Source organism: Homo sapiens, chromosome 8 (assembly GCF_000001405.40).
Source record: "Homo sapiens chromosome 8, GRCh38.p14 Primary Assembly".
Taxonomy (NCBI): domain Eukaryota; kingdom Metazoa; phylum Chordata; class Mammalia; order Primates; family Hominidae; genus Homo; species Homo sapiens.
The window spans coordinates 144,017,024-144,041,563 of NC_000008.11; the positions used below are offsets into that span (position 1 = coordinate 144,017,024).

Here is a 24,540-nt window from a genome sequence, read left to right on the forward strand (position 1 = left end):
GAGAGTAGACTGAGACAGGGAGATGGATTAGACTGAGGCTGTTGTAGTCCTCCAGGTGGGAGATGACAGCATAAGCCACAGGTAGAGAGAAATCCATTCACGTTATTTAATAAGAAAACAGAAACCCTAACTGCTTGGATGTGAGGGATGACAAAGAGAGCATCCAGAATGTATCTGTTGTCCCAGCCAAGGCAGATCTCTATAGTTGCCTCAGAGAATCTTTCTCTGGCCACTTCCTCAACCTGCCTGTTCTCTTGGCCATTCCTTGTGACTGGCCTCCTTTATAGAGTCGGGTTCTTATTCTTGATTTGTCCTCATGAACTCAGGCCTTCGATTCCTCTTTCTGGGCCTACCCTTCTCCCTTATGCTCTGTGCACAGCCCTACCTCTGAAATCCCCCTGGTCCAGAGACCTGGCCCAACCCCATTGAGGAGGAACACAGGAGGAAACAGCTTGGGAGGTATGAGCAGGGCTTGGTCTGGTGGGCTGTGGATGTTTATAAGCATGTGTACCAGGCTCCTCTCAGTGCAGGACAGAGCTCAGATGGGAAGAGAAGGGGTGCAGAAGGGCAGGGCCAGGGGACCAGCTCTCTCCAATCTACCACATCCTGGCACAAAACTAGTACAAGAATTTCAAATTCAAATCTGACCTTCCAGGTTGTTACAAAGGTTTATTTGTCAGGGTAAGAAAATAGAAAGTAGTTTAACAGTTAGCCTGAGTGGTAACTTTTAACTACTCTGACACTTGGTAAATGGGCTTTCATTTATACTCTTGCCCACAGCCCTGCAAATGTTAGAGGTGAGCCTGGGAGAAGGAAAGGCAGTTTTGGAGCAAGAAAATGAGTTGTATTTTGGACAAAATTATTTTAAGATGTCCACACAACATCCACGTGGAGTGTCCAGAAGCAGTAGCACTATGAGCCTGAAGCTCGGAGAAGTCAGGTCTAGAGAGAAAAGATTCAAGAGTTACTGATAATTCAAGCTGAGGTAGGGGGCGAGGCCATCTGGGAAGAGAGTGCACAGTAAGAGACTGAAGGACAGATCCTGACTGAGGACAGGTAGAGGAGTTGACAAAGGAGCATGCAGAGAGGCAAGGGAAACTTCAAAAGCAGAATGTCACAAAAGCCAAGAGACAGCTTCAAAGGGGACAGTGTCAGCAAGGTAAAGGCTGCCAAGAGGTCAAGCAAGAAAAGTACTAAAAATATCCATAGCATTCAGTGGACAATTCATGACATTGGCATTCGTGACCTTGGTTAGAGTGATTTCAACCATCATAGGTGGAATGGCCGACCAGGGTGAGGTGAAAAGTCAGTGAGAAAATGGAGAGAAAAGATGATGGAGATACTTAATTCAAGGAGTTTGGCCTTGGGGTGAGGGGAGTGGACAGGGAGAGGGCAGTAGCTGGGAGGGCATGAGGTCCAGAACTTCTTTTCAAGGTGGCAGAGACCTGAGTTTGTTTACATGTGGAAAGAAGAGGCCAGGAGAGACTGTTGGAAAATACGCAAGATAAAAGAGGTACATTATGGGGTGGGGAGTGCCCTTGACTGAAGGAAGAGAGTCTCTTCCACTATCCTAGAAGGGAAGGAGGAAGGAGAGCATGAGTGTGAATGCCAGCTGGTGGGAAGCTAAAGGAACTCCAGACCCGTGGCTTCAATTTTCTCTGTTCAAATGTTCTTCTCTGAGAGCAAGGATGGAGCGGGGAAGGTCTGAAATAGAGTAAAAATGGGGGGCTGGGCACGGTGGCTCACATCTGTAGTCCCAACACTTTGGAAGGCCGAGCCGGGCAGATGACCTGAGGTCAGGAGTTTGAGACCATCCTGGCCAACACGGTGAAACCCCGTCTCTACTAAAAATACAAAAAAAAAAAAAAAAAAAGCAGGCATGGTGGCGGGCGCCTGTGGTCCCAGCTACTCAGGAGGCTGAGGCAGGAGAATGGCATGAACCCGGGAGGCAGAGCTTGCAGTGAGCCGAGATCGCGCCACTGCACTCCAGCCTGGGCGACAGAGCGAGACTCCGTCTCAAAAAAAAAAAAAAAAAAAAAAGGGACGGGGAAGGAACTGAGAGGAGAACTTGGAGGGTCTGTCTGGATGTATAGTGGGCTGAATGGCGCAACCATCTTCGGGATTTGCAAAGGCAGCAGCCATCAATCTCCTGCCTTCTCCAGCAGCATTTGGCAGCCTGAGGGCAGGCATGGGGGAGGCAAGCAGGCAGTGCCGAGGATGGCTCAGCAAGAGCTCAGGCACATCAAAGCTGCTCTGGCTGAGAGCGCAGCCAAAACCAGGAGTGCTGTCAGATGGAGAGAAAATAAAGAGGCCAGTGGACTGAGATCTGGAGAGGCTCAGAGACCAGGTGGCCAGAGTGATCTCTGCCCAAGACAGAAGGTACAACTGTGTGGTCAGAGTGGGTAATCTGAAGAGGCAGGAAATCAGAAAATGTTGGCCGTTGGCCGAGTTAACTTCACCGGGACAGAACAGGCGCCAAGAGCTTCAGACTTGGCCCCGTGCACGGGCAGGTGGGAGCTGCGGCATGCAGACTGCGGGGCGTCCTGCTCCTGAGGGCTCAGGGGCTTGCAGGGAGATAGGGCTGTTGGAGTAGCTGGGGAGACAAGAAATGAGGGCCAAGATGGGGGCTCAAGACACTAAAACAGTAACTGCACTGAAAACTGGCTCCTGCCCCCACCGGTCAGACCTGGCTCCTCCACACAGAGCTCAGGTGACAGGTGGGACAGCCGTCAGCACGGAACAGGCAGTCAAGAAAGGAGGACTGAGGGCCTGCTCTAGCCACCAGCATCCTCCTCATCCCAGCCCTCACCACCCCTCCCTCACCCGAGCCCACACACCTACCTGAGGATCCTCTCCCCTCAGGGCCGCCTCGTCCTGCTCTCCCACTGCCTCCCCCGGGGGCTGCGGCAGGTCTCCTCCGGCAGGGGGCAGTCTTCCCTCAGTTCCGGAGGGCCTTCCCGCACGAACGCCCGCCCCCATGTCACAGTTTCCCTCACACGAGAACCTGCCTTGAATTCAGGACCTGCGAACCCCACAGATGCATCCGGCCCCTCAGGACCCGTCAATACCCCACAAGACTCTACCCCACAAGAAACACGTTCCCGCTCAAGATCTGTCCCTCCCTACTCAGGACACATCCCTCCCCTCTAAGGACCCTCCCCGCTCAGGACCCTCTTCCCTCAGGACCATCTCCCCTCAGGAGGCTGTTCTCTCAGGACACTCTTCCCTGAAGACCCTCTCCGCTGAAGAACCTCTCGCCTCAGGACCCTCTTCCCTTGGAAACTTCTCCCCTCAGGACCTTCCCTCTCAGGACTCTCTCCCCTCAGAACCCTTTCCCCCGAGGACTACCTTCCCTCAGGACCCTCTTCCCTGATAACCCTCTCCCCTCAGTGCCCTCTCCCCTCAGAACGCTCTTCTCTCAGGACCACCTTCCCGCAGGACACTCTTCCCTCAGGACTCTCTTCTCTGAGGAACCCCTCACATCAGGACCCTCTCCCCTCAGAACCCTCTTCCCTCAGGACCCTCTTCCTTCAGTATCCTCTCCCCTCAGGACCTTCTCCCCTCAGAACCCTCTCCCCTCAGAACCCTCTTCCTTCAGGACCCTCCTCCCTGAGTATACTCTCCCTTCAGGACCCTCCCCGCCAGGACCCTCTCCCCTCGCACCCCTCTTCCCTCAGGATCCTCTTCCCTCAGGAGCCTCTTCCCTCAGGAGCCTCTTCCCTCAGGACCTGATGCCCTTAGGACCAAGCTCTTCCCTTAGGGCCCTCTCCCATCAAAACCCTCTCCCCTCAGAACTCTCTTCTCTCAGGACCCTCTTCCCTAAAGACCCTCTCCCCTCAAAACTCTCTTCCCTCAGACCCCTCTTCCCTCAGGACCCTCTTCCCTCAGGACCTTCTCCCCTCAGGACCCCCTCACCTTAAGTACCTCTACCCTCAGTACTTTCCCCCTCAAGACCCTCTCCCCTCAGGAACCTCTTCCCTGACAACCTCCTTCCCTGAAAACCTTCCCCCATCAGGACTCTCATTCCCTCAAGATCTTCTCCCCTGAGGACCTGATGCCCCCAGGACCCCATCCCCTCATAACCCACTTTCTCCCATGAGGATTCTCTCCCTCAGGACCCTCTTCCTTCAGTATCCTCTCCCCTCAAGACCTTTCCCATCAGGACCCTCTCCCCTTAGAACCCCCTCCCCTCAAGACCGCCTTCCCTCAGGACCCTCTCCCCTCAGGACTCTCTTCCTTCAGGACCCCCTTCCCTCAGGTCCCTCTCCCCTCAGGACCCTCTTCCCTCATGACCCTCTGCCCTCATGACCCAGTTTCTCCCCTGAGAATTCTCTCCCTCAGGACTCTCTTCCTTCAGTATCCTCTCTCCTCGGGACCTTCCCCATCAGTACCCTCCCACCTTAGAACCCTCTCCCCTCAAGACTGCCTTCTCTCAGGACCCTCTCCCCTCAGGACTGCCTTCCCTCAGGACCTCCTTCCCTCAGATCCCTCTCCCCTCAGGGCCCTCTGCCCTCAAAACTCTCTTCCCTCAGAACTTTTCTTCTAAGGACCCTCTTACCTCAGAACCCTCTCACCTCAGGACCCTCTGTCCAGAAGAACCTCACACCCCAGGACCTTCCCCCTCAAGATCCTCCCCCCTCAGGAAGCTCTTCTCTCAGGAACCTCTTCCCTGAAAACCCTTCCCCCTCAGGAGCCTCTTCCCTCAGGACCCTCTTTCTTGAGGAACCTCTTCCCTGAGGAGCCTTTCCCCTCAAGACCCTCCCACTTCAGGTCTCTCTCCCCTCAGGAGCTTCTCCTCTCACGACCCTCTCTCCTCAGGACTGCCTTGCCCTCGGGACTATCTTCCCTGAGGAAACTCTCCCCCTCAGGAAGCTCTTATCTCAGGAACCTCTTCCCTGAAAACCCTTCCCCCTCAGGACCCTCTTCCCTCAGGACCCTCTTTCTTGAGGAACCTCTTCCCTGAGGAGCCTTTCCCCTCAAGACCCTCCCACTTCAGGTCTCTCTCCCCTCAGGACCTTCTCCTCTCACGACCCTCTCTCCTCAGGACTGCCTTCCCTCAGGAACCTTTTCCCTGAAAACCCTTCCCCCTCAGGACCCTCTCCCCTCAGGACCCTCTTTCTTGAGGAACCTCTTCCCTGAGGAGCCTTTCCCCTCAAGACCCTCCCACTTCAGGTCTCTCTCCCCTCAGGACCTTCTCCTCTCACGACCCTCTCTCCTCAGGACTGCCTTCCCTCAGGACCTTCTCCTCTCAGAAACTCTCCCCTCAAGACTGCCTTCTCTCAGGACCCTCTCCCCTCAGGACTGCCTTCCCTCAGGACCTCCTTCCCTCAGATCCCTCTCCCCTCAGGGCCCTCTGCCCTCAAAACTCTCTTCCCTCAGAACTTTTCTTCTAAGGACCCTCTTACCTCAGAACCCTCTCACCTCAGGACCCTCTGTCCAGAAGAACCTCACACTCCAGGACCTTCCCCCTCAAGATCCTCCCCCCTCAGGAAGCTCTTCTCTCAGGAACCTCTTCCCTGAAAACCCTTCCCCCTCAGGACCCTCTTCCCTCAGGACCCTCTTTCTTGAGGAACCTCTTCCCTGAGGAGCCTTTCCCCTCAAGACCCTCCCACTTCAGGTCTCTCTCCCCTCAGGACCTTCTCCTCTCACGACCCTCTCTCCTCAGGACTGCCTTCCCTCAGGACTATCTTCCCTGAGGAAACTCTCCCCTCAGGACCCTCTTCCCTTAGAACCCTTTCCCTAAGGGCCCTCTTCCCTGAGGACCCACTTCTCTGAAAACCCTCCCCCGTCAGGACCCTCTTTTCTAACGACCTTCTTCCCTGAGGACCCTCTCTCCTCAGGACCATATCGCCTCAGTACCCTCCTCTCTTGTGACCATCCCCCGCCATGGCCCTCTTCTCTAAGGACACTCTCTATGCAGGACCCTTTCCCCTCATGACCTACCCTATTCCCTCAGGACCCTCTTCCCTGAAAACCCTCTTCCCTCAAGACCCTCTTCCCTGAGGAACCTCGTCCCTCAGGACCCTCCCACCTCAGGTCCCTCTCCCCTAAGGACCCTCTCTCCTCAGGACCCTCTTCTCTCAGGACTCCTTTCCCTCAGGACCCTCTCCCCCCAGGACCCTCTTCCCTCAGGACCCCTTTCTCTCAGGACCCTCTTTCCTCAGGACCTACCCTCTCCCCTGAGGACCCTCTCCCCTCAGGACCTACCCTCTTCCCTCAGGACCTCTTCCCTGAGAACTTCTCCCCTCAGACCATCCCACCTCAGGACCTCTCTCCTGAGACCCTCCCCCTGAGGAACCTCTCCCCTCAGGATCCTCTCCCCTCAGGACCCTCTTCCCTCAGAACCCTTTCCCTAAGGACCCTCTTCCCTGAGGACCCTCTTCTCTGAAAACCCTCCCCCCTCAGGACCCTCTTTTCTAAGGACCTTCTTCCCTGAGGACCCTCTCTCCTCAGGACCATATCGCCTCAGTACCCTCCTCTCTCGTGACTGTCTCCCCTCGTGGCCCTCTTCTCTAAGGACACTCTCTATGCAGGACCCTTTCCCCTCACGACCTTTCCTATTCCCTCAGGACACACTTCCCTGAAAACGCTCTTCCCTCAGGACCCTCTTCCCTGAGGAACTTCTTCCCTCAGGACCCTCTCCCCTTGAAACTCCCCTCAGGACCCCCCTTGGGATCCTCTCCCCTCAAGACCCCCTTCCCTCAGGACCCTCTCCCCTCAAAACTCTCTTCCTTCAGAACCCTTTCCCTAAGGTCCCTCTTCCCTCAGAACCCTCTAGAACCCTGTCCCTGTCCCCTCAGGACCTCCCCTTAGGACCTTCGCCCTGAGGACACTCTCTCTTCAAGACCCTCTCCCCTCAGAAAGCTCTTCTCTCAGAACCCTCTTCCCTGAGGACCCTGTTCCCTAAAAACCTTCCCCCCTCAGGACCCTCTTCCCTCAGGACCTTCTACCTTAAGGACCCTCTCCCCTCAGGACCCTCTACCCTAAGGACCCTCTCCCCTCAGAACCCTCTCCTCTCCCCTCGGGACCACCTTCCCTCAGGACCCTCTTCTCTGAGGACCCTGTACCCTTAGGAGCCTCTCCCCTCCGGACCCTCTCTTCACAGGACCATCCTACTTCTAGACCATCTTTCCCCAGGACCCTCTCCCGTTAGGACCCTCTCCCTTCAGGACTCTCTTCCCTCAGGACCCTCTACCCTCAGGATGCTCTCCCCTCCAGGCCCTCTCCCTCATGACCTACTCACTCCCCTGAGGACCCTCTCCCTCAAGACCCTCTTCCCTCATAAACTTCCTCCCCCAGGACCGCCTTCTTTCAGACCCCTCTTCTTTCAGGACCCTCTCCCCAAAGGACCCCCTTCCCTCAGGACCCCCTTCCCTCAGGACCCCCTTCCTTCAGGACCCTATTCCCTTAGGATCCTCTTCCCTCTGGATCCTCTTCCCTCAGGACCCTCTCCCCTTGAAACTCCCCTCAGGACCCCCCTTGGGATCCTCTCCCCTCAAGACCCCCTTCCCTCAGGACCCTCTCCCCTCAAAACTCTCTTCCTTCAGAACCCTTTCCCTAAGGTCCCTCTTCCCTCAGAACCCTCTCTCCTGAAGAACCTGTCCCCTCAGGACCTTCCCCTTCATGACCCTCTTCTCTCAAGACCCTCTCTCCTCAGGAAACTTTTCTCTCAGGACCCTTTTCCCTGAAGGCCCTCTTCCCTGACGACCCTCTTCCCTGAAAACCCTCCTTCCCTCAGGACCCTCTCCCCTCAAGACCTACCCTCTCCCCTCAGCACCCTCTTCCCTGAGGACCCTCTTCCCTCAGGACCCTCTTTCCTGAGGAATCTCTTCCCTGAGGAACCTTTCCTTTCAGGACCCTCCCACCTCAGGTCCCTCTCCCTAAGGACCCTCTCCCCTCAGGACCCTCTTCCTTCAAGATCCTCTTCCCTCAGGACCCTCCAGCCTCAGCAGCCTCCCCCCTCAGGACCCTTTTTCTTGAGGACCCTCTCCTCTCAGGACCATCTCACCTCAGGACCCTCTCCCCCTAGGACCATCTCCCCTCAGGACCTACCTTCTCCCCTAAGGAAACTCTTCCCTCAGGACCCTCTTCTTTGAGGATTCTTTTCCCTGAGGACCCTCTCCTCTCAGGATCATTTCACCTCAGGACCCTTTCTCCTCAGGGCCCTCTCCCCTTAGCACCCTCTCCCTTCAGGACTCTCTTCCCACAGGACCTTCTTCCCTCATACTTTCTCCCCTCACAATCCTCCCCTTGGTTTAAGTGATCCTCCCATCTTAGCCTCTCAACGTGCTGGGATTCCAGTCGTGAGGCCAGGTGTCTAGCTTTTACTTTTCTTTTTAACTTCAATTGTTTGATGTACCAAACCTTGCTGAGAGACCTAAATAATTAAATAATCATATAAACGCAGTGAATCTGAAGTCCTCTTCAATGTTCTCTTCAAGTTCTTTTCAAGGTACTTGTACTGGAGCCTAAGATTTTCAACTCACAAATCTAAATAAATTAAACACAAATTATCAAAAGGTTAAGAAATCACTTGTACATATTGCCTTGGAATATCATGCGACGGGACTGAAATCTCTTAAACACAAGCTAACAGTGGGTGTCTGTTAGCTGAGGACTCTCCCTCCACCCATGGCATCTTGCAGTCATGAACCCAAAGGTACCCTGTTTCCTGACCAGGGACCTCGGTAAGGCAGCTGCTGAGATCTCATCAGTGATTCTGATGGGTCGTAGACTGAGGCCATCCCAGTGTGAGCAGGGCATATGCTCCTCATGGTCTGTGCCTGCAGAGCCTGTAATGCCTCCCAGGTGTGCACTAGCTTGGCCCCTGAACCATAAATGTGCCTTTTCTGCCACAATAAATGCCTGTGACCCCAGTGAATCTTTTTTAAATGACAGCTTCACTGAGATGTAATTCATATAACCATACAATTCACCCATTTAAAGTGCATAATTCACTGGTTTTTAGTATAATCACAGGTATGTACAAACATTACCACAATCAATTTTAGAACACTTTCATCACCCCAAAAAGAAACCTCATCCCCTTTAGCTATCACACCCCTACCCTCTCACCACCCCCTCCCCAGCTCTAAGCAACCACTAATCTACTTTCTGTTTGTATGAATTTGCCCATTCTCAACATTCCATAAGCATGGAATCATATATGCGGTCTTTTGTGACTGACTTCTTTCACTAAGCATAATGTTTTCAAGGTTCTTCCATGCGGTAGCTCCTGGCTATAGTTAGGGTTTTTTGTTTTGTTTCGCTTTTATGGCTGAATACTATTCCAGTGTATGGCTATATTACATTTTGTTTATTCATTCATTGGTTGGTGGCCATTTGGGTTATTTCCTCCTTTGGGCTATTATGAATAATGCCGCTATGAACATTCATGTACAGATTTTGTGCAGACATGTTTCCATCTCTCTTGGATATATCTAGGAGTAGAATTACTGGGTCATATGGTAACTCTATGTTCAACTGTTTAAGGAACTGCCAGATTGTTTTTCAAAGCCGCCGCACCATTTCACATTCCCACCAGAAACGTATGAGGGTTCCAATTTCTCCAAATCCTTGCCAATATGTGTTATCATCTGATGTTTTAAAATCATAACCATCCTAGTGGGTGTGAAGTGATATTCCAATGCAGTTTTGATTTGTATTTCCTAATGACTAATGATGCTGAGCTTCTTTAGGTGTGCTTATTGGCCATTTGTATATCTTTTGAGAAATATCTATTTAGATCCAATGCCCATTTTTATTTTTTTAATTTCTTTCTTTTTCTTTTTTTTTTTTTTTTGAGACGGAGTCTCGCTCTGTTGCCCAGGCTAGAGAGTGCAGTGGCGCGATCTTGGCTCACTGCAAGCTCCACCTCCTAGGTTCATGCCATTCTCCTACCTCAGCCTCCTGAATAGCTGAGACTACAGGCGCCCACCACCACGCCCTGCTAATTTTTTTTTTCTTTTTTTTTTTTTTTTTTGGATTTTTAGTAGAGACGGGGTTTCACTATGTTAGCCAGGATGGTCTCGATCTCCTGGCCCCATGATCCGCCTGCCTCAGCCTCCCAAACTGCTGGGATTACAGGCGTGAGCCACCACACCCAGCTTATTTCTTAATTTCTATATAAAAATAGAGACAAGGTCTCACTATGTTGCCCAGGTTTGTCTTAAACTCCCAGACTCAAATGATCCTGCCACCTCGGCCGCCCAAAGTGGTGGGATTTTAGGCATGAGCCATCCTGCCCAGCCCATTGCTCATTTTTAAATTGGGCTGTCTTCTTATTGTTGACTTGTAAGATTCTTTATATACACTGGATATAGTCCCTCCTCAAATATATCACTTGCAAATATTTTCTCCAATTGTTTGGGTTGTCTTTTCACTTTCTTAATAATGTCTTTTGAAACATAGAAGCTTTTGATTTTGATGAGGTCCAATTTATCTATTGTTTCGCTTGTTGTTTGTGCCTTAGGTGTTATAGCTCAGAATCCACTGCCAAATCCAAGGTCATGCAGATTCACCCCAAGTTTTATTCTAAGAGTTCTATGGTTTTAGCTCTTCATTTAGGCCTTTACTCCATTCTGATTTAACTTTTGTATATGGTGTGAAGTAGGGGTCTAACATCATTCTTTTGTAACATGGATATCCAGTTATACCAGCACCATTTGTTAAAAAGATTATTTTCTCAGGCTGGGCACAGTAGCTCATGCCTGTAATCCCAGAAATTTGGGATGCCAAGACAGGTGGATCACTTGAGGTCAGGAGTTTGAGACCAGCCTGGCCAACATGGTGAAATCCCATCTCTACTAAAAATACAAAAATTAACCGGGCGTGGTGGTGCACACCTATAATCCCAGCTACTCGGGAGGCTGAGGCAGGAGAATCACTTGAACCTGGGAGGCAGAGTTTGCAGTGAGCCAAGATGGTGGCACGGCACTCCAGCCTGGGTGACAGAGCGAGACTCTATCAAAAAAAAAAAGATTATTTTATCAATTGAAACTCGACCCCTTAAACCTTACACAAAAATTAACTCAAGATGGATTAAATACTTAAATGTAAAACCCCAAACAATAAAAACTCTAGAAGAAAATCTAGGCAATACCATTTGAGACATAGGCACAGGCAAAAGATTTCATGACAGAAACTTCAAAAGCAATTGCAACAAAAGCAAAAATTGACACATGAGATCTAACTAAACTAAAGAGCTTCTGCACAGCAAAAGAAACTATCATCAGAGCAAACAGACAACCTATAGAATGGGAGAAGATGTTTGCAACCTATCCATCTGACAAAGGTCTAATATCCAGAGTCTACAAGGAACTCAAACAAATTTACAAGAAAAAAAAAAACCCATTAAAAAGTGGGCAAAGGACATGAACAGGCGCTTCTCAAAAGAAGACATTCAAGCAGCCAACGAACATATGAAAAAAAGCTCATCATCACTGGTTGTTAGAGAAATGCAAATCAAAACCACAATGAGATACCATCTCACACCAGTCACAATGGCAATTATTAAAAAGTCAAGAAACAACAGATGCTGACGAGGCTGTGGAGAAATAAGAATATTTTTACACTGTTGGTGGGAATGTAAACTAGTTCAACTATTGTGGAAGGGAGTGTGGCAATTCATCAAAGACCTAGAACCAGAAATACCATTTGACCCAGCAATCCCATTACTGGGTATATACCCAAAGGAATATAAATCATTCTATTATGAAGAATTCATGCACGTGTATATTCATTGCAGCACTATTCACAATAGCAGAGACATGCAATCAACCAAAATGCCCACCAATGATAGACTGGATAAAGAAAATGTGGTACATATATACCATGGAATATTATGCCATAAAAAGGGATAAGATCATGTCCTTTGCAGGGACATGGATGGAGCTAGAAGCCATTATCCTCAGCAAACTAACCCAGGAACAGGAAAGCCAAACACTGCATGTTCTCACTCACAAATGGGAGCTCAACAATGAGAACACATGGACACAGGGAGGAGAGCAACACACACTGTGGCCTGTCGGAGGGGTTGGGGGAGGGAGAGCATCAGGAAAAATAGCTAATGTATGCTGGGCTTAATACTTGGGTGATGTGTTGATAGGTACAGCAAACCACTGTGGCACACATTTACCTATGTAACAAACCTGCACATCCTACACATGTACCCCAGAACTAAAAAAAAAAAAAAAAAAAAAAAAAAAAAAGATTTTCTCCCATTGAATTGTCTTTGCACACTTGCCAAAAATCAGTTGGTACAGGGCCAGGCGCGGTAGCTCACGCCTGTAATCCCAGCACTTTGGGAGGCCGAGTTGGGCAGATCACGTGAGGTCAGGAGTTCTGAGACCAGCCTGGGCAACATGTTGAAACCCCATCTCTACTAAAAATACAAAAATCTGACAAGTGTGGTGTGTGCCTGTAATCCCAGCTACTCGGGAGGCTGAGGCAGGAGAATCACTTGAACCTGGGAGGTGTAGGTTGCAGTGAGGCGAGAGCGCACCACTGCACTCCAGCCTGGGTGACAAGAGCAAAACTCCGTCTCAAAAACAATACAAATAAAAATAAAGAGTGTGTTGTTTCATTTCCACAGTTGTGAATTTTACAGATTTCCATCTGTTATTGATTTCTAGTCTCATTCTTATGGTCAGAGAAGATACTTTATATGATTTCAATATTTTAAAACTTAGAGACCTTTTTTTGTGATCCATCCTGGAGAATGTTTCATGTTCCCTTGAGAATAATGTATATTCTACTGTTGTTGGAGGGAAGTGTTTTGTATATGTCCATTAGAGCTAGTTGGTTTATAGAAAGGTTTGAGTTCTCTATATCCTTACTGATCTTCTGTCCGGTTCTATCCACTACCGAAAGTGGGGTCTCCAACTATTATTGTAGAACGGTCTATTTCTGACTTTGATTCTGTCCATTTCTGCTTTATATATTTTCCGGATCTGTTATTAAGTGCATGAATGTTAATCATTGTTACATTTTATTGTACTGAAACTTTTATTAATATATAATGTTCTTCTTTGCCTTTTGTAACAATTTTTGATTTAAAGTCTATTTTGTCCGATATCAGTATAGCCACCCAGCTCTCTTTTGATTACTATTTGCATGGAATATCTTTTTTTACCCCTTCACTTTCAATCTATGTGTGTCTTTCGATCTAAAGTGAGTCTCTTTTAGGCAGCATATAATAGGAACATGGGAGTGTTTTTTGGTTGACTGTTTTATCCATTCTGCCAATCTCTTACCTTTTGACTGCCTATTTTACTCTATTTAAAGGAATTCCTGATAAGAAAGCACTATTTCTGCCACATTGCTGTGTATGTATGTATGTATGTATGTATGTATTGAGACAGGGTCTCACTCTTTCACCCAGGCTGGAGTGCAGTGGCACGTCTCAGCTCACTGCAGCCTCCGCCTCCTGGGTTCAAGCAATTCTCCTGCTTCCGCCTCCTGAGTAGTTGGGATTACAGGCATCAGCCACCACGCCTGGCTAATATTTCTATTTTTAGTAGAGACTGGATTTCACCATGCTGGCCAGGCTGGTCTTGAACTCCTGACACCAGGTGATCCACCCGCCTCAGCCTCCCAAAGTGCTGTGATTACAGGCATGAGCCACCATGCCTGGCCTGCTGTTTATTTTCTGCATGTCTTATGTCTTTTTTCCCCTCAGTGTATCTTTTATTGTCTTCTGTGTTTAATTAATTTTTTCTAGTATACCATTTTGATTCCTTCTCCTACTTTTTTTTTCCTGTACATTTTAAAGTTATTTTCTTAGTGGTTACCCTGGGGGTCACAATAAACATCTTAAATTTATAACAGTCTAGTTCAAATTAATAGCAACTTAGCTTTAATAGTATGCAAAATATACATACAGTATATAAATAATATATAACTCTGTCCTCCCCCTTTATGTTATTATTGTCACAAGTTACATCTTTATACAGTATGTGCACACTAGCATATATTTATAATCATTGTTTTATACATTTGTCTTTTAAGTCATATAGGAAAAATGGGAGATACAAACCAAAAATACAATAATACTGGCTTTGACATCAGCATATGTAGTTACCTCCATTGGTGTTATTTTTTCATATGGCTTCTAGTTACTGTCTAGTTTCCTTTCATTTCAGCCTAAAGGACTCCCTTTAGCATTTCTTGTGGGCAGGTCTACTGGCAATAAATCCCCTCAGCTTTTGTTTATCTGGGAATGTCTTAATTCCTCATTCATCTTTGAAGGATAGTTTTATGGAATATAGAATTCTTCTTTGATCTTTTTACTTTCAACAGCTTAAATATGTCAAACCACTACCTTCTGGCCTTCATAGTTTCTGATGAAAATTTTGCTGTTAATCTTATAGAGGATCCCTTGTACATGATGAGTCACTTCTCTCTTGCTGCTATCAAGATTTTTTTTTCTTTTTTTTTTTTTTTTTTTAGAGAGATAGGGTCTCACTACGTTGCCCTGGCTGGTCTTGAACTCCTGGCCTCAAGCGATCCTCTGGCCTCAAAGATTCTGTCTTTCAACTGTCTGATTGTAATGTATCTCAGTGAAAATCTCTATGAGTTTATTCTACTTGGAGTTCACTGAGTTTCTTTGATATGTGGATCCATATCTTTCACTAAATTTAGAAAATTTTCAGACATTATTTCTTCAACTATTTTTTCTTTTTCTTTTTTTTTCTTTCTTTCTTTTTTTTTTTTTTTCTGAAGACAGGGTCTCACTCTGTCACCCATCATGTAGCGGCATGATCTTGGCTCACTGCAGCCTCCACCTCCCAGGCTCAAGCAATTCTCCCACCTCAGCTTCCTGAGTAGCTAGGACCACAGGCATGTGCCATCACATCCGGCTAATTTTTCGTATTTTTGGTAGAGACAGGTTTTGGCCATGTTGCCCAGACTGGTCTTGAACTCCTGGGCTCAAGCGATCTGCCCACCTTTGCCTTCCAAAGTGCTGGGATTACAGGTGTAAGCCACCATGCCTGGTCGATTTCTACAAATATTTTTTTTTTCTGCTCCTTTCTCTTTATCGTCTCTCTTTCTCCTTCCAGGACTTCTATTAGAGTATGTTGCTATGCTTGATGGTGTCCCAGAGGTCTCTTAGGCTTTATTCATTTTTCTTTCTATTCCTGAAACTGGATAATCTCCATGGATTTAGTTTCAAGTTTGTTGATTCATTCTTCTGCCTGCCCAGATCGGTTGAATCCCTCTCGTGAATTTTTCAATTTAGTTATGGTATTTTTTATTATTTTATTTTATTTTTTGAGATGGAGTCTTGCTCTGTCACCCAGGCTGGAGTGCAGTGGCACGATCTTGGCTCACTGCAATCTCCGCCTTTCGGGTTCACACCATTCTCCTGCCTCAGCCTCCCGAGTTGCTGGGACTAAAGGTGCCCGCCACCATGCCCAGCTAATTTTTGTATTCTTAGTAGAGACAGGGTTTCACCATGTTAGCCAGGATGGTCTCGATCTCTTGACCTCATGATCTGCCCACCTCAGCCTCCCAAAGTGCTGGGATTACAGACCTGAGCCACCCCACCTGGCATTTTGAATGCTTTTTAGCTTTTTGAAAACTGGACATTTTAAATATTATAACGTGGTGACTCTGGAAATAAGATTATTCCTCCCTCCCCAGGGTTTATTGCTGCTTGTTATGGGTCATACTTGTTTGTTTAGTGACTTTTCTAAACTGTTTTCTGCAAAATATTGTAATTTTTGTCCATATTGCTCCCCCTCATGCGAGCAAGCCACACCAGGAAGGCAGACCGCCAACCTTATGGCCATCACTGATGCACAGAGTGGGAGATATTAGGTGTCTGTGAGGATAGTGACTTCTGTGTGTCATATGCACAGATAGGGATTTCCATGAGCACACACAACAAAGAATACGGTCTTTATAAAAGCAGTTTAGAAAAGTCACTAAACAACGACCAACTACGACCCACAACAAGCAGCAATAGCAAAGCCTGGGGAGGAGGTGAATCTCATTTCCAGGGTTACCAAACTATAATATTTCAAATGTCCAGTTTTCAACAAACAGCAAAAAAAAAAAAAAAAAATTACATGGCATGAAACAAAAGTTAGGCTGGGCACAGTGGCTCACGCCTGTTATCCCAGCACTTTGAGAGACCGTGGCAGGCGGATCACCTGAGGTCAGGAGTTCGAGACCAGCCTGGCCAACATGGTGAAACTCTGTCTCTACTAAAAATACAAAAAAGTTAGCTGGGCATGGTGGCACGCACCTGTAATCCCAGCTATTTGGGAGGCTGAGACTGGAGAATCGTTTGAACCCGGGAGGAGGAGGTTGCAGTGAGCTGAGATAGTGCTATTGCACTCTAGCCTGGGGCAACAAGAGCGAGACTCCGTCTCAAAAAAAAAAAAAGAAAGAAAGAAAAGTTAAAATGCCTATGTTTTCCTCCCAAAATTTAGTAGCTTCCTCATTAAGCATTCCCCTGGTTATTGTAAGATTTTTATTAGATTCTGGAGACCCAAAAAAAGTTTACTCTGATCATTTTTGCCAGCTTAATCGTAGCTTTGGTGGAGGGCTGAAATTGTGGAGCTCTCTAATCCTCCATTTTCAGTTGCTACCTGTCTGGCTAGTTTGAGTCCAAAGGGAAAGACAAATGCAGCACACACATCCTTACCCATGGGCAGTGAAAGCAGATGTGACTGGCCCTGCAGACTGATGTGGGTGGCATGCACTGGCCTCAGTGACTTTGTGTCTCCAGAGCCTCATGTGGGGTTTGGTTTTATGCTAACATTGGCTTTTCTCAGTCCATGCTGAAATATGTTGGGAATCACCACCAGCAGAGGCACAGGGACTTGGGAAAGGGGACCACATCACTATTCAGCACTGGCAGGCAAATCCCACCTGAAAAGGAAGGAGACGGCAAGGAATCCTGATGGGGAGATAGTCCTTGGGCTCCCTGCTCTACCTGAAAGAGCTGAGGTTGCATTCGTGCTGGCGGGATGCAGCCAGGCCACTTGGGTTTGAAAATCTCTTATTTTTCAGGGCCTAACCTTTACTTCTATCAATCTGAGTTCTTCCCCTCCCTCTTCTGCAGTTGGCCTGTTTACAGGGCCCTGCCCAGTTGACCACAAAGGCCCAGCATTGGCCAGGGAAGGCAGGAGGGCTCCTGGGGAGGCGCATGTTGTAGAGGGAGTGCTGGAGGACAGGGAAGCCAAAGGTGCCACCAAGAGGACTGGGCATGCACGGGCCTCCATAGCACAGGCTGGGAAGGAAGCACAGATCCCTCTCCACATGAGGCTGGGCCACCCCTGGACTAGCCTTGCCCGTAAGGGCCTGGCTTTGTTTGCTAAGTGTGAGCAGGGCTGTGGCCCCTCCTGGTCTCAAGACAAAACCAGGCAGAAATGCATTTTTTTTTTTTTTTAGAAAACACTTTTCTTCATAAAGTTTGTTTTTTAAAATACATACTCATATTGTGAAAATTTTAGAATGTACATGAAAATATAAAGAAGAAAAAAAATTAACTTGACATTTACATACACCCCTTAAAGGTCACCACCAGACACATGGGGAGTATTTACCCACCTCTTTTTCAGAGTGGAGAATGCAACTCTCAGCTTTTATTTATTTATTTATTTATTTTTAGACGGAGCCTCACTCTGTCACCAGGCTGGAGTGGAATGCCACACTCTTGGCTCACTGCAACCTCCGAGTCCAGGGTTCAAGCGATTCTCCTGCCCCAGGTTCCCGAGTACCTGGGACTATAGGCACACACCAACACACCTGACTAATTTTGTGTATTTTTAGTAGAGACGGGGTTTCACCATGTTGGCCAAGCTGGTCTCAATCTCCTGACCTCGTGATCCACCTGCCTCGGCCTCCCAAAGTGCTGGGATTACAGGTGTGAAACACTGCGCCTGGCAACTCTCAGCTTTTAATCCACATTCCTACACTTGATGTAACAATTTTAATATTTACTATAAGCATTTCATTGTGTTCTCATATTTTCTTTACAAATAGTACTGTAAATGATTTCACATCAAGCTATTATACATTTGAACATTTCATGATTTGCTGAACAATTTTTCCGTGGTTTGTTGTGCCAAGGTTTTATCATTAACAGACAAACAGGATGGGTCTTTCTGAGGCCTGGCATCTGCCCCCTGCTCTCACAGGCCCTCCTCCCCAGGCCCGCCTGCCCTCCCCCATCAACTCTGTCCACATGCTTCTGTCTCTGATCTGTACTTGGCCTTCCCTGGAGCCCTCGTTCCTAGCAGGATGAGGGCAGCATGGGAAGAAAGTGGGTAGCACTTACTGTATTGGGTGAGGGGTAGAGGGTACCAATAGCACCCAGCTCACGGCAGCCACACCACCCTCTCAGTGTGCAGCAGCACATCAGACAGTAGACTGGCTTTGTAATCCCACCATCTGTGTCGGCGCCATTGTTCCTTCTGTCCTGGACCTTGACAAAGCTACCACTCCAGCGCCTCCTGGGAGTCCCCGTGGCTTCTGCTTTATACATTTTGGTGTTAGACTTTCTGTGAATTGCTCCCTCAGTTACCTTCTGTGTGCTACGTGATGGTCCTGCCTGGAATCCAACTTGGTCGAAAAACAGACCGGGCCATTTCCCTCTGGGGACGAGACCATGGCCTGTCCAGTGCTGTGCCCTCTCTCAGCCCTGACCGGCTGGCCCCTCCACAGCGGCCACCTTCCCAGAGTAGGCGGCAAGAGGAAACATTTGTCCTGTCTTCTCACCTGACCTGGCTGCTTCAAACATTAGGACCACCGGCGCTCCTTAGGCTGCCCTGGCTGTGCGGGGACAGTGGCCCCTGACTGCCTCTCCCCAGTCATCCTGGAGATGTTGCCCCCAAGTGGTCCTTTCCCACATCACCCAGACCCTGGGCTCTCCTAAGGAATTGGAGGCCAAGCAGGACAGACAGCCGCACTCTGAGCTCCATCCTCCACCTCAGCACATGCAGCCCATCCCTCTGTCTGCCCCACTCTGTGCTCCCTCTCCTTCACGTCTGTCCTCTCCATGGACTGCTTGCCTTTGGCCCACAAGCTTTATTGTCTCCTGGGTCCTAAAACAAAACTTTCTAAAAAGTCAGAACAAGAAATCATAAAAGACCAGGCTGGGAGTGGTGGCTCGCAACTATAATCTCATCATTTTAGGAAGCTGAGGCAGGAGGATTGCTTGAGGAGTTTGAGACCAGCTTGGGCGACAGAGTTAGATTCCCATCTCTAAAACTAAAAATAAATACATAAGTAAAAGAGCAGCTGACTGGATTGTGCAATTTTGATTTACTTGTTTGGAAAGCGGAACTTAGAAGGTTTTGGGTTTTTATGAGACAGGATCTCATGCCGTCACTCAGACTGGAGTGCAGTAGCACGATCACGGCTCACCACAGCCCCAACCTCCTGGGATCAGGTGATCCTCCACCTCAGCCTCCCAAGTAGCTGGGACTACAGGTGCACACCACCATACCCGGCTAATTTTTGGATTTTTTGTAGAGACGGAGTTTCACCATGTTGCCCAGGCTGGTCTCGAACTCCTGAACTCAAGCAATCTGCCCATCTCAGCCTCCCAAAGTGCTGGGATTACAGGCACGAACCACCACACCCGGCCCAGAACTTAGAATTCAAAAGGCAAATAAAGTGGCAGAACATCTCACCACACATCACAGAGGATTAGCTCTGAAGAGATAGAAGTAGTGCACTCAGAGACTTCCTGGGGAACATCAGAACACTTCCAAGGGAGCCTGTAAAATGTCTATTTCCAGGAAAAAAATCAATCATCAAGACTTACGTAATAGGGTGTTTGTCATCAGGGAACACGGGAATCGATTGAAATGCCCATCCACTGAGATAGGCTCAGTAAAAAAATAGCACGTCCGTAAGATGAGGCCTCCGCAGCTACAATAGCACCATTTGCAAAGAATCATGATGCCGGAGCTGCTATGGTGTGTGTCCCGTGACAAGTGGCAAGGTACAAAAGGATATGTGATCTATGCCACCACCACCTTTGTACACAGCCTGTTAAGAATGAATTTTGGCCGGGCAGAGGGGCTCCTCACTTCCCAGTAGGGGCGGCCGGCTGGGCGGGGGGCTGACCCCCGCCCGGCAAGCCGCCCCGTCCGGGAGGGAGGTGGGGGGGTCAGCCCCCCACCCAGCCGGCCGCCCCGTCCGGGAGGGAGGTGGGGGGGTCAGCCCCCCGCCCAGCCGGCCGCCCCGCCCGGGAGGTGAGGGGCGCCTCTGCCCGGCCGCCCCTACTGGGAAGTGAAGAGCCCCTCTGCCCGGCCACCACCCCGTCTGGGAGGTGTACCCAACAACTCATTGAGAACGGGCCATGATGACAATGGCGGTTTTGAGGAATAGAAAGCGGGGAAAGGTGGGGAAAAGATTGAGAAATCGGATGGTTGCCGTGTCTGTGTAGAAAGAGGTAGACATGGGAGACTTTTCATTTTGCCTGTACTAAGAAAAATTCTTATCCTGTTGATCTGTGACCTTACCCCCAACCCTGTGCTCTCTGAAACATGCGCTGTGTCCACTCAGGGTTGAATGGATTAAGGGGGGTGCAAGATGTGCTTTGTTAAACAGATGCTTGAAGGCAGCATGCTCGTTAAGAGTCATCACCACTCCCTAATCTCAAGTACCCAGGGACACAAACACTGTGGAAGGCCGCAGGGTCCTCTGCCTAGGAAAACCAGAGACCTTTGTTCACTTGTTTATCTGCTGACCTTCCCTCCACTATTGTCCTATGACCCTGCCCAATCCCCCTCTGCGAGAAACACCCAAGAATGATCAATAAAAATAAATAGATTAATTAAAAAAAAAAAAAAAGAATGAATTTTGGCCGGGCTCGGTGGCCACGCCTGTAATCCCAGCACTTTGGGAGGCCAAGGCGGGCAGATCATGAGGTCAGGAGATCAAGACCATCCTGGCTAACACGGTGAAACCCTGTCTCTCCTAAAAATACAAAAAATTAGCCGGGCGAGGTGGCGGGCGCCTGTAATCCCAGCTACGCGAGGCTGAGGCAGGAGAATGGCGTGAACCCCGGGGGGCGGAGCCTTCAGTGAGCCGAGATCGCACCACTGCACTCCAGCCTGGGCGACAGTGAGACTCTGTCTCAAAAAAAAAAAAAAAATTGATTTTTACAGCCAGGTGCAGTGGCTCATGCCTGTAATCCCAGTACTTTGGGAAGCCCAGGCAGGCAGATCATGAGGTCAAGAGATCAAAACCATCCTGGTCAACATGGTGAAACCCCGTCTCTACTAAAAATACAAAAATTAGCTGGGCCTGGTGGCACACACCTGTAGTCCCAGCTACTCAGGAGGCTGGAGCAGGAGAATCGCTTGAACCCGGGAGGCAGAGGTTGCAGTGAGCCGAGATTGTGCCACTGCACTCCAGCCTGGGCAACAGAGCGAGACTCTGTCTCAAAAAAAAAAAAAACCGCATGAATTTTACTTCTTTAAAATTATTATTTTGAGATGGGGTCTCACTCTGTCACCCAGGCTGGAGTGCAGTGGCACGATCACAGTGCAATCATAGCTCACTGCAGCCTCAACCTCCCGGGCTCAAATGATCCTCCCACCTCAGCCTCCCGAGTAGCTGGGACTACAGGTGTGTGCCACCAGGCCCAGCTAATTTTTGTGTTTTTTGTAGAGACATGGTCTCTCCATATTGAGCAGGCCGGTCTGGAACTCCTGGGCTCAGGCGGTTGAATTTTACATTTTTAAATGGTTAAAAGAAGACTACTATTACATGACCCATGAAATCCAAAATGTCGTATTCATCCATAAAGGTTTGTTGCCATACACCCTCCCTCATTCACCTCCGGGTTGCCCGTGGCTGCCTTCTGAAGGCAACGGCAGGCTTGAGCGGTTGCAACAGAGACCATATAGCTGGCAAAGGTGGAAGTATTTACCTCCAGACCTTCACAGAAAATGCTTGCCAACTCCTGAGCTATATACGCACGGTAGAGAAGGTCTCCAAGGCAACACGCAGCTCCTCAATAGAGACTAACTGTGGGATGATGGAACTATCTGTGGCTTTTCATCTTTTTTTTCTGTATTTCCATTCTTTCTCTATAATAAGCATGTACTGCATTTATAACAACAAAAGTGGAAGTTCTCAATGAAATTGCATACTCACAAAAACCTTCTCTGCACTCCCACCACTACTGCCAGCAGCTGCATCCCCGGGGATCAGGGGGCTTCTCCCCGAAACAGTGGCCAGAAAAAGGAGCACTCCTCCAGGACCAAGGAAAGCAGGCTCTCAGGGGCAGGGAGAGAGCATAAAGCAGTGTCTGGGACCAGGGTGTGTGACCAGCTCTGACCTGCATCCCTGTTTAGGCCACAGCAAGCCCCACAGGGCAGGGACCATGCAAGGGTGCCGGGCCACGTGAGGCTCTGCCCATTGCAGCACGGACCCCCTGAGGAGCCCCCACCACAAAGACAGTGGTCAGGAGGCCTGGGCCCTCTTCTCTCCACCGAAGAACAGAGGGGCCAACTTGGTGACCTGAGAATCCAGCTGCTTGGAGACCCTCTGCTGGGCAAGGGGTGGGCACGGTTGAGGAAAGGGCAGCGGGACGTCCCCATGGCTGGGGGCAGTGGGCAAGTGGTCAGAGAAGTGAGCCTGGGAGAACTGACCCAAAAATCAGGGCTGGAGATGAGGCCTTGGGGAGCCACTCCCAGGCTCCTCTGAGCAGACACAGACTCCCCACAGAGGCAGAGACGCCACCACCCTGGCCTGCCTAAGAAGTGAGGCTCAGAGACCAGGTCGGACCAGTCAGCTCATCGGGGACAGATGGGCACTATGGCCAGGCCCTACCACAGTGACAGAGCCTGTGACCACCCTCGCCGTGGTCTGGAGGGGCTCCCCTGGGGTCTCAGTGCTTTCTCTGTGTTCCCAGGTGTCTTCCTGCCCCCGTCCCCAGCAGTGGCAAACGAACGAGTCCTCGAAGAAGTGGGGATCATGGCCTTGGCACCCCTGGCCGAGATGCTAACCAGCTTGCAGCCCAGCGCCACACCGGGCTCACTCATGAGCCCCCTGACAGGCACCCTCAGCACGCTGCTGTCTGGCCCAGCACCCACGTCACAGAGCAGCCCCCTCACCAGCTTCCTGACCAGTCCCATTGCGGGACCCCTAACAGGCACACTGGCCAGTTCCCTGGGCCTGCCCTCCACTGGCACCCTGACTCCCAGCAGCCTCGTGGCAGGCCCTGTGGCCATGTCCCAGAGCAGCCCCCTGATAGCCCCTGTGATGGGCACGGTGGCTGTCTCTCTGAGCAGCCCCCTCCTCAGCTCCACTGCCACCCCACCAGGGGTCTCTCAGAACCTGCTGGCCAACCCCATGAGCAACCTGGTCCTGCCAGAGGCCCCAAGGCTGCGGCTGGCTGAGCCACTCCGCGGAGGCCCCACTGGGCCCCAGTCCCCAGCTTGCGTGGTACCCACTGCCACCACCAAAGGTAACAGGTGTGGTGGGTGGTGGGTGGCAGAGTGGGGGGGGGCAGAGCCCTCCCACCTCACTCTAATCCCCCTTTTTTTATTTCTGTTCCCTCCACATCACTAGTCCCACTCTCCACTGAGCCCCCCCAGTCGACCCAGGACCCAGAGCCTCTCAGCATGGCGTTTGCAGGAGCACCCCTCCAGACCTCCACCCCTATCGGAGCCATGGGCACACCTGCTCCCAAGACGGCCTTCTCCTTCAACACTTCGGACACACAGGCCCAGCCCAGTGCCGCCCAGGAACAAGTGGTCCCTGCATCTGTCCCCACCTCCCCCACCACCTCCCCCACGGTCACCGTCCTTGCCTCTGCCCCCGCCCTTGCCCCCCAGGTTGCCACCAGCTACACACCCTCAAGCACCACCCACATCGCCCAGGGTGCCCCCCATCCCCCTTCCCGAATGCATAATTCCCCAACCCAGAACCTGCCTGTCCCCCACTGTCCTCCACACAACGCCCACTCCCCACCTCGTACCTCATCCTCCCCGGCTTCAGTCAATGACTCTCGAGGTCCACGCACCACAGAACCGTCGACGAAGAGCATGATGGAGGTGGAACGGAAGCTGGCCCACCGCAAGACCAGCAAGTTCCCCGAGAACCCCCGAGGTCAGTGACACTGCGGGCTCCACGCGGGTCGGGCCCCCAGGCCCTCTCCCTGCCGCCTGCCTGGGCTGCTGAGCCCAGCTCCTCTCACCCTCTCACCTGGGCTGACGAGACCCTGTGTCCCCAGAGTCGAAGCAGCTGGCCTGGGAGAGGCTGGTGGGTGAGATTGCCTTCCAGCTGGACCGCAGGATCCTGTCCAGCATCTTCCCAGAGCGCGTACGGCTCTACGGCTTCACTGTCTCCAACATCCCAGAGAAGATCATCCAGGTGTGCGGCCAGGGGTCCTGCAGGGACAGGGGGCAGGTTGGCCCATGAGGGGCCGTGGGGACCCTGCACTCTGGCCAGGCCAAACTTGCCAGGACCTGAGGAGTCCCTGGGATAGAGGAAGCTGACTGCTCAGTGCCAACGGCCTGCAGGTGTTGGGGCATCTGGCAGTGGGAGCCCACGGTCTCCTCAGAG

General features: G+C 50.3%; 1 protein-coding gene across 8 annotated transcripts in view, besides 2 other annotated features; it reads left to right on the plus strand.

Moving 5' to 3' along the window:
* Positions 1-24,540, plus strand: part of SPATC1 (spermatogenesis and centriole associated 1) — a 36,138-nt gene that overhangs the window by 6,047 nt on the left and 5,551 nt on the right. For 5 of the 8 annotated variants that reach the window (XR_928329.2, XR_928328.2, XM_011517022.3 and 2 more), the window contains exons 2-4: positions 22,886-23,440; positions 23,545-24,084; positions 24,209-24,348. Coding sequence is in view for 6 of the 8 variants with exons in the window: in XM_011517022.3 (XP_011515324.1) it covers positions 22,886-23,440; positions 23,545-24,084; positions 24,209-24,348 (1,235 nt within the window). In the remaining 2 variants the exon portion in view is untranslated. Of the gene's footprint in view, positions 1-793; positions 1,160-8,250; positions 8,314-8,441; positions 8,453-22,885; positions 23,441-23,544; positions 24,085-24,208; positions 24,349-24,540 lie in introns of those variants that run through there. The other 3 variants (XM_011517024.4, XM_011517025.3, NM_001134374.2) reach the window with 3 other exon arrangements.
* Positions 2,654-2,883: a silencer, noted in NCBI's record as "silent region_19651". NCBI's record gives its function as "represses an Ori minimal core promoter by ATAC-STARR-seq in GM12878 lymphoblastoid cells {active_cell/tissue: GM12878}" and the evidence as "EXISTENCE:reporter gene assay evidence [ECO:0000049][PMID:35858748]".
* Positions 20,338-20,860: an enhancer, noted in NCBI's record as "NANOG hESC enhancer chr8:145092262-145092784 (GRCh37/hg19 assembly coordinates)". NCBI's record gives its function as "activates a minimal SCP1, AML or CMV promoter by ChIP-STARR-seq in naive H9 embryonic stem cells {active_cell/tissue: H9 hESC(naive)}" and the evidence as "EXISTENCE:reporter gene assay evidence [ECO:0000049][PMID:30033119]".